Source organism: Homo sapiens, chromosome 12 (genome assembly GCF_000001405.40).
Source record: "Homo sapiens chromosome 12, GRCh38.p14 Primary Assembly".
Lineage (NCBI taxonomy): Eukaryota > Metazoa > Chordata > Mammalia > Primates > Hominidae > Homo > Homo sapiens.
Genome location: NC_000012.12, coordinates 37,034,788 through 37,048,759, shown reverse-complemented (window position 1 = coordinate 37,048,759; position 13,972 = coordinate 37,034,788). Strand labels below are relative to the sequence as shown.

The window sequence follows — 13,972 nt, the reverse complement described above, 5'->3', positions numbered from 1 at the left end:
CAAAAGAAAGGTTATACTCTGTGAATTGAACGCACACATCACAAAGTAGTTTCTGAGAATGATTCTGTCTAGTTTTTATACGAAGATATTTCCTTTTCTACATTTGGCCTAAAAGCGCTTGAAACCTCCACCTGCAAATATCACAAAAAGAGGGTTTCACATCTGCTCTGTCTAAAGGACAGTTCACCTCTGTGAGTTGAATAGAGGCAACACCAAGAACTTACTCAGTATTCTTCTTTCTAGCGTTATATGAAGAAATCCCGTTTCCAATGAAGGCCTCAAAGAGGTCCAAATATCTGCTTGCAGACTTTACAGACAGAGTGTTTCCAAACTACTCTATGAAAAGAAAGCTTAAACTCCTTGAGTTGAACCGCACACATCACAAAGTAGTTTCTGAGAATGATTCTGTCTTGTTTTTATACGAAGATATTTCCGTTTCTACGATTGGCCTCAAAGCGATTGAAATCTCCAACTGGAAACTGCACAAATAGTGTGTTTCAAATCTGCTCTGTCTAAGGGAAGGTTCAACTCTGTGAGTTGAATACACACACCACAAATAAGTTACTGAGAATTCTTCTGTTGAACATTACATGAAGCAATCCCGTTTCCAACGAAGGCCTCAAAGAGGTCCTAATGTCCACTTGCAGACATTAAAGAGTGTTTCCAAACTGCTCCATCAAAAGAAAGGGTAAACTCTGTGAGCTGAACACACACATCAAAAAGAAGTTTCTGTGAATGATTCTGTCTAGATTTTATAAGAAGATGTTTCCTTTTCTACCGTAGGCCTCAAAGCGCTTGAAATCTCCAGCTGCAAATTCCACAAAAAGGGTGTTTAACATCTGCTCTTCTAAAGGAAAGTTCAACTCTATGAGTTGAATACACACAGCACAAAGAAGTTACTGAGACTTCTCCTATCAAACATTATATGAAGAAATCCCGTTTCCAACGAAGGCCTCAAAGAGGTCCAAATATCTGCTTGCAGACTTTACAGACAGAGTGTTTCCAAACTGCTCCATCAAAAGAAAGGTTAAACTCCTTGAGTTGAACACACACATCACAAAGTAGTTTCTGTGAATGATTCTGTCTAGTTTTTATACGAAGATGTTTCCTTTTCTACCTTTGGTCTCAAAGCGATTGAAATCTCCACATGGAAACCCAACAAAAAGAGTGTTTCAAATCTGCTCTTTCTGAAGGAAGGTTCAACCCTGTGAGTTGAATACACACACCACAAATAAGTTACTGAGAATTCTTCTGTGTAACATTATATGAGGAAATCCCGTTTCCAACGAAGGCCTCAAAGAGGTCCAAATATCCACTTGCAGACTTTACAAAGACAGTGTCTCCAAACTCCTCCATCAAAAGAAAGGTTATACTCTGTGAATTGAACGCACACATCACAAAGTAGTTTCTGAGAATGATTCTCTCTAGTTTTTATACAAAGATATTTCCTTTTCTACATTTGGCCTAAAAGCGCTTGAAATCTCCACCTGCAAATATCACAAAAAGAGGGTTTCACATCTGCTCTGTCTAAAGGACAGTTCACCTCTGTGAGTTGAATAGAGGCAACACAAAGAACTTACTCAGTATTCTTCTTTCTAGCGTTCTATGAAGAAATCCCGTTTCCAACGAAGGCCTCAAGGAGGTCCAAATATCTGCTTGCAGACTTTACAGAGTGTTTCCAAACTACTCTATGAAAAGAAAGCTTAAACTCCTTGAGTTGAACGCACACATCACAAAGTAGTTTCTGAGAATTATTCTGTCAAGTTTTTATACGAAGATGTTTCCTTTTCTACATTTGGTCTCAAAGCGATTGAAATCTCCAACTGGAAACTGCACAAATAGGGTGTTTCAAATCTGCTCTGTCTAAAGGAAGTTTCAACTCTGTGAGTTGAATACACACACCACAAATAAGTTACTGAGAATTCTTCTGTCGAACATTACATGAAGAAATCCCGTTTCCAACGAAGACCTCAAAGAGGTCCAAATATCCACTTGCAGACATTACAAACAGAGTGTTTCCAAACTGCTCCATCAAAAGAAAGGTTAAACCCTGTGGAGCTGAACACACACATCAAAAAGATGTTTCTGTGAATGATTCTGTCTAGATTTTATAAGAAGATGTTTCCTTTTCTACAGTACGCCACAAAGCGCTTGAAATCTCCAGCTGCAAATTCCACAAAAAGGGTGTTTAACATCTGCTCTTCTAAAGGAAAGTTCAACTCTATGAGTTAAATAAACACAGCAGAAAGAAGTTACTGAGACTTCTCCTATCAAACATTATATGAAGAAATCCCGTTTCCAACGAAGGCCTCAAAGAGGTCCAAATATCTGCTTGCAGACTTTACAGACAGAGTTTTTCCAAACTGCTCCATCAAAAGAAAGGTTAAACTCCTTGAGTTGAACACACACATCACAAAGTAGTTTCTGTGAATGTTTCTGTCTAGTTTTTATACGAAGATGTTTCCTTTTCTACCTTTGGTCTCAAAGCGATTGAAATCTCCACATGGAAACTCCACAAAAAAGAGTGTTTCAAATCTGCTCTTTCTGAAGGAAGGTTCAACTCTGTGAGTTGAATACACACACCACAAATAAGTTACTGAGAATTCTTCTGTGTAACAGTATATGAGGAAATCCCGTTTCCAACGAAGGCCTCAAAGAGGTCCAAATATCCACTTGCAGACTTTACAAAGACAGTGTCTCCAAACTCCTCCATCAAAAGAAAGGTTATACTCTGTGAATTGAACGCACACATCACAAAGTAGTTTCTGAGAATGATTCTGTCTAGTTTTTATACGAAGATATTTCCTTTTCTACATTTGGCCTAAAAGCGCTTGAAATCTCCACCTGCAAATATCACAAAAAGAGGGTTTCACATCTGCTCTGTCTAAAGGACAGTTCACCTCTGTGAGTTGAATAGAGGCAACACAAAGAACTTACTCAGTATTCTTCTTTCCAGCGTTCTATGAAGAATTCCCGTTTCCAACGAAGGCCTCAAAGAGGTCCAAATATCTGCTTGCAGACTTTACAGACAGAGTGTTTCCAAACTACTCTATGAACAGAAAGCTTAAACTCCGTGAGTTGAATGCACACATCACAAAGTAGTTTCTGAGAATGATTCTGTCTAGTTTTTATACGAAGATGTTTCCTTTTCTACATTTGGTCTCAAAGCGATTGAAATCTCCAACTGGAAACTGCACAAATAGGGTGTTTCAAATCTGCACTGTGTAAAGGAAGGTTCAACTCTGTGAGTTGAATACGCACACCACAAATAAGTTACTGAGAATTCTTCTCTCGAACATTACATGAAGAAATCCCGTTTCCAACGAAGGCCTGAAAGAGGTCCAAATATCCAGTTGCCGAAAATGCAAACACAGTGTTTGCAAACTGCTCCGTCAAAAGAAAGGTTAAACTCTGTGAGATGAACACACACATCAGAAAGAAGTTTCTGTGAATGATTCTGTCTAGATTTTATAAGAAGATGTTTCCTTTTCTACCGTAGGCCTCAAAGTGCTTGAAATCTCCAGCTGCAAATTCCACAAAAAGGGTGTTTAACATCTGCTCTTCTAAAGGAAAGTTCAACTCAATGAGTTGAATACACACAGCCCAAAGAAGTTACTGAGACTTCTCCTATCAAACATTATATGAAGAAATCCCGTTTCCAACGAAGGCCTCAAAGAGGTGCAAATATCTGCTTGCAGACTTTACAGACAGAGTGTTTCCAAACTGCTCCATCAAAAGAAAGGTTAACCTCCTTGAGTTGAACACACACATCACAAAGTAGTTTCTGTGAATGATTCTGTCTAGTTTTTATACGAAGATGTTTCCTTTTCTACCTTTGGTCTCAAAGCGATTGAAATCTCCACATGGAAACTCCACAAAAAGAGTGTTTCAAATCTGCTCTTTCTGAAGGAAGGTTCAACTCTGTGAGTTGAATACACACACCACAAATAAGTTACTGAGAATTCTTCTGTGTAACATTATATGAGGAAATCCCGTTTCCAACGAAGGCCTCAAAGAGGTCCAAATATCCACTTGCAGACTTTACAAAGACAGTGTCTCCAAACTCCTCCATCAAAAGAAAGGTTATACTCTGTGAATTGAACGCACACATCACAAAGTAGTTTCTGAGAATGATTCTGTCTAGTTTTTATACGAAGATATTTCCTTTTCTACATTTGGCCTAAAAGCGCTTGAAATCTCCACCTGCAAATATCACAAAAAGAGGGTTTCACATCTGCTCTGTCTAAAGGACAGTTCACCTCTGTGAGTTGAATAGAGGCAACACAAAGAACGTACTCAGTATTCTTCTTTCTAGCGTTCTATGAAGAAATCCCGTTTCCAACGAAGGCCTCAAAGAGGTTCAAATATCTGCTTGCAGACTTTACAGACAGAGTGTTTCCAAACTACTCTATGAAAAGAAAGCTTAAACTCCTTGAGTTGAACGCACACAACACAAAGTAGTTTCTGAGAATGATTCTGTCTAGTTTTTATACGAAGATGTTTCCTTTTCTACATTTGGTCTCAAAGCGATTGAAATCTCCAACTGGAAACTGCACAAATAGGGTGTTTCAAATCTGCTCTGTCTAAAGGAAGGTTCAACTCTGTGAGTTGAATACACACACCACAAATAAGTTACTGAGAATTCTTCTGTCGAACATTACAGGGAAGAAATCCCGTTTCCAACGAAGGCCTCAAAGTAGGTCCAAATATCCACTTGCAGACATTACAAACAGTGTGTTTCCCAACTGCTCCATCAAAAGAAAGGTTAAACTCTGTTAGCTGAACACACACATCAAAAAGAAGTTTCTGTGAATGATTCTGTCTAGATTTTATAAGAAGATGTTTCCTTTTCTACCGTAGGCCTCAAAGCGCTTGAAATCTCCAGCTGCAAATTCCACAAAAAGGGTGTTTAACATCTGCTCTTCTAAAGGAAAGTTCAACTCTATGAGTTGAATACACACAGCACAAAGAAGTTACTGAGACTTCTCCTATCAAACATTATATGAAGAAATCCCGTTTCCAACGAAGGCCTCAAAGAGGTCCAAATATCTGCTTGCAGACTTTACAGACAGAGTTTTTCCAAACTGCTCCATCAAAAGAAAGGTTAAACTCCTTGAGTTAAACACACACATCACAAAGTAGTTTCTGTGAATGATTCTGTCTAGTTTTTATACGAAGATGTTTCCTTTTCTACCTTTGGTCTCAAAGCGATTGAAATCTCCACATGGAAACTCCACAAAAAGAGTGTTTCACATCTGCTCTTTCTGAAGGAAGGTTCAACTCTGTGAGTTGAATACACACACCACAAATAAGTTACTGAGAATTCTTCTGTGTAACATTATATGAGGAAATCCCGTTTCCAACGAAGGCCTCAAAGAGGTCCAAATATCCACTTGCAGACTTTACAAAGACAGTGTCTCCAAACTCCTCCATCAAAAGAAAGGTTATACTCTGTGAATTGAACGCACACATCACAAAGTAGTTTCTGAGAATGATTCTGTCTAGTTTTTATACAAAGATATTTCCTTTTCTACATTTGGCCTAAAAGCGCTTGAAATCTCCACCTGCAAATATCACAAAAAGAGGGTTTCACATCTGCTCTGTCTAAAGGACAGTTCACCTCTGTGAGTTGAATAGAGGCAACACAAAGAACTTACTCAGTATTCTTCTTTCTAGCCTTCTATTAAGAAATCCTGTTTCCAACGAAGGCCCCAAAGAGGTCCAAATATCTGCTTGCAGACTTTACAGACAGAGTGTTTCCAAACTACTCTATGAAAAGAAAGCTTAAACTCCTTGAGTTGAACGCACACATCACAAAGTAGTTTCTGAGAATGATTCTCTCTAGTTTTTATACGAAGATGTTTCCTTTTCTACATTTGGTCTCAAAGCAATTGAAATCTCCAACTGGAAACTGCACAAATAGGGGTTTTCAAATCTGCTCTGTCTAAAGGAAGGTTCAACTCTGTGAGTTGAATACACACACCACAAATAAGTTACTGAGAATTCTTCTGTCGAACATTACAGGAAGAAATCCCGTTTCCAGCGAAGGCCTCAAAGAGGTCCAAATATCCACTTGCAGACATTACAAACAGAGTGTTTCCAAACTGCTCCATCAAAAGAAAGGTTAAACTCTGTGAGCTGAACACACACATCAAAAAGAAGTTTCTGTGAATGATTCTGTCTAGATATTATAAGAAGATGTTTCCTTTTCTACCGTAGGCCTCAAAGCGCTTGAAATCTCCACCTGCAAATTCCACAAAAAGGGTGTTTAACATCTGCTCTTCTAAAGGAAAGTTCAACTCTATGAGTTGAATACACACAGCACAAAGAAGTTACTGAGACTTCTCCTATCAAACATTATATGAAGAAATCCCGTTTCCAACGAAGGCCTCAAAGAGGTCCAAATATCTACTTGCAGACTTTACAGACAGAGTGTTTCCAAACTGCTCCATCAAAAGAAAGGTTAAACTCCTTGAGTTGAACACACACATCACAAAGTAGTTTCTGTGAATGATTCTGTCTAGTTTTTATACGAAGATGTTTCCTTTTCTACCTTTGGTCTCAAAGCGATTGAAATCTCCACATGGAAACTCCACAAAAAGAGTGTTTCAAATCTGCTCTTTCTGAAGGAAGGTTCAACTCTGTGAGTTGAATACACACACCACAAATAAGTTACTGAGAATTCTTCTGTGTAACATTATATGAGGAAATCCCGTTTCCAACGAAGGCCTCAAAGAGGTCCAAATATCCACTTGCAGACTTTACAAAGACAGTGTCTCCAAACTCCTCCATCAAAAGAAAGGTTATACTCTGTGAATTGAACGCACACATCACAAAGTAGTTTCTGAGAATGATTCTGTCTAGTTTTTATACGAAGATATTTCCTTTTCTACATTTGGCCTAAAAGCGCTTGAAATCTCCAACTGCAAATATCACAAAAAGAGGGTTTCACATCTGCTCTGTCTAAAGGACAGTTCACATCTGTGAGTTGAATAGAGGCAACACAAAGAACTTACTCAGTATTCTTCTTTCTAGCGTTCTATGAAGAAATCCCGTTTCCAACGAATGCCTCAAAGAGGTCCAAATATCTGCTTGCAGACTTTACAGACAAAGTGTTTCCAAACTGCTCCATCAAAAGAAAGCTTAAACTCCTTGAGTTGAACGCACACATCACAAAGCAGTTTCTGAGAATGATTCTGTCTAGTTTTTATACGAAGATGTTTCCTTTTCTACATTTGGTCTCAAAGCGATTGAAATCTCCAACTGGAAACTGCACAAATAGGGTGTTTCAAATCTGCTCTGTCTAAAGGAAGGTTCAACTCTGTGAGCTGAATACACACACCACAAATAAGTTACTGAGAATTCTTCTGTCGAACATTACTTGAAGAAATCCCGTTTCCAACGAAGGCCTCCAAGAGGTCCAAATATCCACTTGCAGACATTACAAACAGAGTGTTTCCAAACTGCTCCATCAAAGGAAACGTTAAACTCTGTGAGCTGAACACACACATCAAAAAGAAGTTTCTGTGAATGATTCTGTCTAGATTTTATAAGAAGATGTTTCCTTTTCTACCGTAGGCCTCAAAGCGCTTGAAATCTCCAGCTGCAAATTCCACAAAAAGGGTGTTTAACATCTGCTCTTCTAAAGGAAAGTTCAACTCTATGAGTTGAATACACACAGCACAAAGAAGTTACTGAGACTTCTCCTATCAAACATTATATGAAGAAATCCCGTTTCCAACGAAGGCCTCAAAGAGGACCAAATATCTGCTTGCAGACTTTACAGACAGAGTTTTTCCAAACTGCTCCATCAAAAGAAAGGTTAAACTCCTTGAGTTGAACACACACATCACAAAGTAGTTTCTGTGAATGATTCTGTCTAGTTTTTATACGAAGATGTTTCCTTTTCTACCTTTGGTCTCAAAGTGATTGAAATCTCCACATGGAAACTCCACAAAAAGAGTGTTTCAAATCTGCTCTTTCTGAAGGAAGGTTCAAATCTGTGAGTTGAATACACACACCACAAATAAGTTACTGAGAATTCTTCTGTGTAACATTATATGAGGAAATCCCGTTTCCAACGAAGGCCTGAAAGAGGTCCAAATATCCACTTGCAGACTTTTCAAAGACAGTGTCTCCAAACTCCTCCATCAAAAGAAAGGTTATACTCTGTGAATTGAATGCACACATCACAAAGTAGTTTCTGAGAATGATTCTGTCTAGTTTTTATACGAAGATATTTCCTTTTCTACATTTGGACAAAAAGCGCTTGAAATCTCCACCTGCAAATATCACAAAAAGAGGGTTTCACATCTGCTCTGTCTAAAGGACAGTTCACCTCTGTGAGTTGAATAGAGGCAACACAAAGAAGTTACTGAGTATTCTTCTTTCTACCGTTCTATGAAGAAATCCCGTTTCCAACGAAGGCCTCAAAGAGGTCCAAATATCTGCTTGCAGACTTTACAGACAGAGTGTTTCCAAACTACTCTATGAAAAGAAAGCTTAAACTCCTTGAGTTGAACGCACACATCACAAAGTAGTTTCTGAGAATGATTCTGTCTAGTTTTTATACGAAGATGTTTCCTTTTCTACCTTTGGTCTCAAAGCGATTGAAATCTCCAACTGGAAAGTGCACAAATAGGGTGTTTCAAATCTGCTCTGTCTAAAGGAAGGTTCAACTCTGTGAGTTGAATACACACAACACAAATAAGTTACTGAGAAATCTTCTCTCGAACATTACATGAAGAAATCCCGTTTCCAACGAAGGCCTCAAAGACGTCCAAATATCCACTTGCCGACATGGCAAACACAGTTTTTCTAAACTGCTCCGTGAAAAGAAAGGTTAAACTCTGTGAGATGAACACACACATCAAAAAGAAGTTTCTGTGAATGATTCTGTCTAGATTTTATAAGAAGATGTTTCCTTTTCTACCGTCGGCCTCAAAGCGCTTGAAATCTCCAGCTGCAAATTCCACAAAAAGGGTGTTTAACATCTGGTCTTCTAAAGGAAAGTTCAACTCTATGAGTTGAATACACACAGCACAAAGTAGTTACTGAGACTTCTCCTTTCAAACATTATATGAAGAAATCCCGTTTCCAACGAAGGCCTCAAAGAGGTCCAAATATCCACTTGCAGACGTGACAAACAGAGTGTTTCCAAACTGCTCCATCCAAAGAAAGGTTAAACTCTGTGAGTTGAACACACACATCACAAAATAGTTTCTGTGAATGATTCTGTCTAGTTTTTATACGAAGATGTTTCCTTTTCTACCTTTGGTCTCAAAGCGATTGAAATCTCCACATGGAAACTCCACAAAAAGAGTGTTTCAAATCTGCTCTTTCTGAAGGAAGGTTCACCTCTGTGAGTTGAATAAACACACCACAAATAAGTTACTGAGAATTCTTCTGTGTAACATTATATGAGGAAATCCCGTTTCCAACGAAGGCCTCAAAGAGGTCCAAATATCCACTTGCAGACTTTACAAAGACAGTGTCTCCAAACTCCTCCATCAAAAGAAAGGTTATACTCTGTGAATTGAACGCACACATCACAAAGTAGTTTCTGAGAATGATTCTGTCTAGTTTTTATACGAAGATATTTCCTTTTCTACATTTGGCCTAAAAGCGCTTGAAGTCTCCACCTGCAAATATCACAAAAAGAGGGTTTCACATCTGCTCTGTCTAAAGGACAGTTCACCTTTGTGAGTTGAATAGAGGCAACACAAAGAACTTACTCAGTATTCTTCTTTCTAGCGTTCTATGAAGAAATCCCGTTTCCAACGAAGGCCCCAAAGAGGTCCAAATATCTGCTTGCAGACTTTACAGACAGAGTGTTTCCAAACTACTCTATGAAAAGAAAGCTTAAACTCCTTGAGTTGAACGCACACATCACAAAGTAGTTTCTGAGAATGATTCTGTCTTGTTTTTATACGAAGATATTTCCGTTTCTACGATTGGCCTCAAAGCGATTGAAATCTCCAACTGGAAACTGCACAAATAGGGTGTTTCAAATCTGCTCTGTCTAAAGGAAGGTTCAACTCTGTGAGTTGAATACACACACCACAAATAAGTTACTGAGAATTCTTCTGTCGAACATTACATGAAGAAATCCCGTTTCCAACGAAGGCCGCAAAGAGGTCCAAATATCCACTTGCCGACATGGCAAACACAGTGTTTGCAAACTGCTCCGTCAAAAGAAAGGTTAAACTCTGTGAGATGAACACACACATCAAAAAGAAGTTTCTGTGAATGATTCTGTCTAGATTTTATAAGAAGCTGTTTCCTTTTCTACCATAGGCCTCAAAGCGCTAGAAATCTCCAGCTCCAAATTCCACAAAAAGTGTGTTTAACATCTGCTCTGTCTAAAGTAAAGTTCAGCTCTGTGAGTTGAATACACACAGCACAAAGAAGTTACTGAGACTTCTCCTATCAAACATTATATGAAGAAATCCCGTTTCCAACGAAGGCCTCAAAGAGGTCCAAATATCTACTTGCAGACTTTACAGACAGAGTGTTTCCAAACTGCTCCATCAAAAGAAAGGTTAAACTCCTTGAGTTGAACACACACATCACAAAGTAGTTTCTGTGAATGATTCTGTCTAGTTTTTATACGAAGATGTTTCCTTTTCTACATTTGGTCTCAAAGCGATTGAAATCTCCACATGGAAACTCCACAAAAAGAGTGTTTCAAATCTGCTCTTTCTGAAGGAAGGTTCAACTCTGTGAGTTGAATACACACACCACAAATAAGTTACTGAGAATTCTTCTGTGTAACATTATATGAGGAAATCCCGTTTCCAACGAAGGCCTCAAAGAGGTCCAAATATCCGCTTGCAGACTTTACAAAGACAGTGTCTCCAAACTCCTCCATCAAAAGAAAGGTTATACTCTGTGAATTGAACGCACACATCACAAAGTAGTTTCTGAGAATGATTCTGTCTAGTTTTTATACGAAGATATTTCCTTTTCTACATTTGGCCTAAAAGCGCTTGAAATCTCCACCTGCAAATATCACAAAAAGAGGGTTTCACATCTGCTCTGTCTAAAGGACAGTTCACCTCTGTGAGTTGAATAGAGGCAACACAAAGAACTTACTCAGTATTCTTCTTTCTAGCGTTATATGAAGAAATCCCGTTTCCAACGAAGGCCTCAAAGAGGTCCAAATATCTGCTTGCAGACTTTACAGACAGAGTGTTTCCAAACTATTCTATGAAAAGAAAGCTTAAACTCCTTGAGTTGAACGCACACAACGCAAAGTAGTTTCTGAGAATGATTCTGTCTTGTTTTTATACGAAGATATTTCCGTTTCTATGATTGGCCTCAAAGCCATTGAAATCTCCAACAGGAAGCTGCACAAACAGGGTGTTTCAAATCTGCTCTGTCTAAAGGAAGTTTCAACTCTGTGAGTTGAATACACACACCACAAATAAGTTGCTGAGAATTCTTCTGTCGAACATTACATGAAGAAATCCCGTTTCCAACGAAGGCCTCAAAGAGGTCCATATATCCACTTGCAGATATTACAAACTGAGTGTTTCCAAACTGCTCCATCAAAGGAAAGGTTAAACTCTGTGAGCTGAACACACACATCAAAAAGAAGTTTCTGTGAATGATTCTGTCTAGATTTTATAAGAAGATGTTTCCTTTTCTACAGTAGGCCTCAAAGCGCTTGAAACCTCCAGCTGCAAATTCCACAAAAAGGGTCTTTAACATCTGCTCTTCTAAAGGAAAGTTCAACTCTATGAGTTGAATACACACAGCACAAAGAAGTTACTGAGACTTCTCCTATCAAACATTATATGAAGAAATCCCGTTTCCAACGAAGGCCTCAAAGAGATCCAAATATCCCCTTGCAGACTTTACAGACAGAGTGTTTCCAAACTCCTACATCAAAAGAAAGGTTAAACTCCTTGAGTTGAACACACACATCACAAAGTAGTTTCTGTGAATGATTCTGTCTAGTTTTTATACGAAGATGTTTCCTTTTCTACCTTTGGTCTCAAAGCGATTGAAATCTCCACATGGAAACTCCACCAAAAGAGTGTTTCAAATCTGCTCTTTCTGAAGGAAGGTTCAACTCTGTGAGTTGAATACAGACACCACAAATAAGTTACTGAGAATTGTTCTGTGTAACATTATATGAGGAAATCCCGTTTCCAACGAAGGCCTCAAAGAGGTCCAAATATCCACTTGCAGACTTTACAAAGACAGTGTCTCCAAACTCCTCCATCAAAAGAAAGGTTATACTCTGTGAATTGAACGCATACATCACAAAGTAGTTTCTGAGAATGATTCTGTCTAGTTTTTATACGAAGATATTTCCTTTTCTACATTTGGCCTAAAAGCGCTTGAAATCTCCACCTGCAAATATCACAAAAAGAGGGTTTCACATCTGCTCTGTCTAAAGGACAGTTCACCTCTGTGAGTTGAATAGAGGCAACACAAAGAACTTACTCAGTATTCTTCTTTCTAGCGTTCTATGAAGAAATCCCGTTTCCAACGAAGGCCTCAAAGAGGTCAAATATCTGCTTGCAGACTTTACAGACAGAGTGTTTCCAAACTACTCTATGAAAAGAAAGCTTAAACTCCTTGAGTTGAACGCACACATCACAAAGTAGTTTCTGAGAATGATTCTGTCTAGTTTTTATACGAAGATGTTTCCTTTTCTACATTTGGTCTCAAAGCGATTGAAATCTCCAACTGGAAACTGCACAAATAGGGTGTTTCAAATCTGCTCTGTCTAAAGGAAGGTTCAACTCTGTGAGTTGAATACACACACCACAAATAAGTTACTGAGAATTCTTCTGTCGAACATTACAGGAAGAAATCCCGTTTCCAACGAAGGCCTCAAAGAGGTCCAAATATCCACTTGCAGACATTACAAACAGTGTGTTTCCAAACTGCTCCATCAAAAGAAAGGTTAAATTCTGTGAGCTGAACACACACATCAAAAAGAAGTTTCTGTGAATGATTCTGTCTAGATTTTATAAGAAGATGTTTCCTTTTCTACCGTAGGCCTCAAAGCGCTTGAAATCTCCAGCTGCAAATTCCACAAAAAGGGTGTTTAACATCTGCTCTTCTAAAGGAAAGTTCAACTCTATGAGTTGAATACACACAGCACAAAGAAGTTACTGAGACTTCTCCTATCAAACATTATATGAAGAAATCCCTTTTCCAACGAAGGCCTCAAAGAGGTGCAAATATCTGCTTGCAGACTTTACAGACAGAGTGTTTCCAAACTGCTCCATCAAAAGAAAGGTTAAACTCCTTGAGTTGAACACACACATCACAAAGTAGTTTCTGTGAATGATTCTGTCTAGTTTTTATACGAAGATGTTTCCTTTTCTACCTTTGGTCTCAAAGCGATTGAAATCTCCACATGGAAACTCCACAAAAAGAGTGTTTCAAATCTGCTCTTTCTGAAGGAAGGTTCAACTCTGTGAGTTGAATACACACACCACAAATAAGTTACTGAGAATTCTTCTGTGTAACGTTATATGAGGAAATCCCGTTTCCAACGAAGGCCTCAAAGAGGTCCAAATATCCACTTGCAGACTTTACAAAGACAGTGTCTCCAAACTCCTCCATCAAAAGAAAGGTTATACTCTGTGAATTGAACGCACACATCACAAAGTAGTTTCTGAGAATGATTCTGTCTAGTTTTTATACGAAGATATTTCCTTTTCTACATTTGGCCTAAAAGCGCTTGAAATCTCCACCTGCAAATATCACAAAAAGAGGGTTTCACATCTGCTCTGTCTAAAGGACAGTTCACCTCTGTGAGTTGAATAGAGGCAACACAAAGAACTTACTCAGTATTCGTCTTTCTAGCGTTCTATGAAGAAATCCCGTTTCCAACGAAGGCCTCAAAGAGGTCCAAATATCTGATTGCAGACTTTACAGACAGAGTGTTTCCCAACTACTCTATGAAAAGAAACCTTAAACTCCTTGAGTTGAACGCACACATCACAAA

At 38.6% G+C, this 13,972-nt stretch overlaps 1 annotated feature.

The window, feature by feature from the left end:
- Positions 1 to 13,972: part of a centromere (Linear centromere model derived predominantly from reads generated in PMID: 17803354. This region does not represent an actual centromere sequence, as long-range ordering of repeats and unmapped WGS contigs is not provided by the model. For details of model production, see http://arxiv.org/abs/1307.0035.) that runs on past both edges of the window.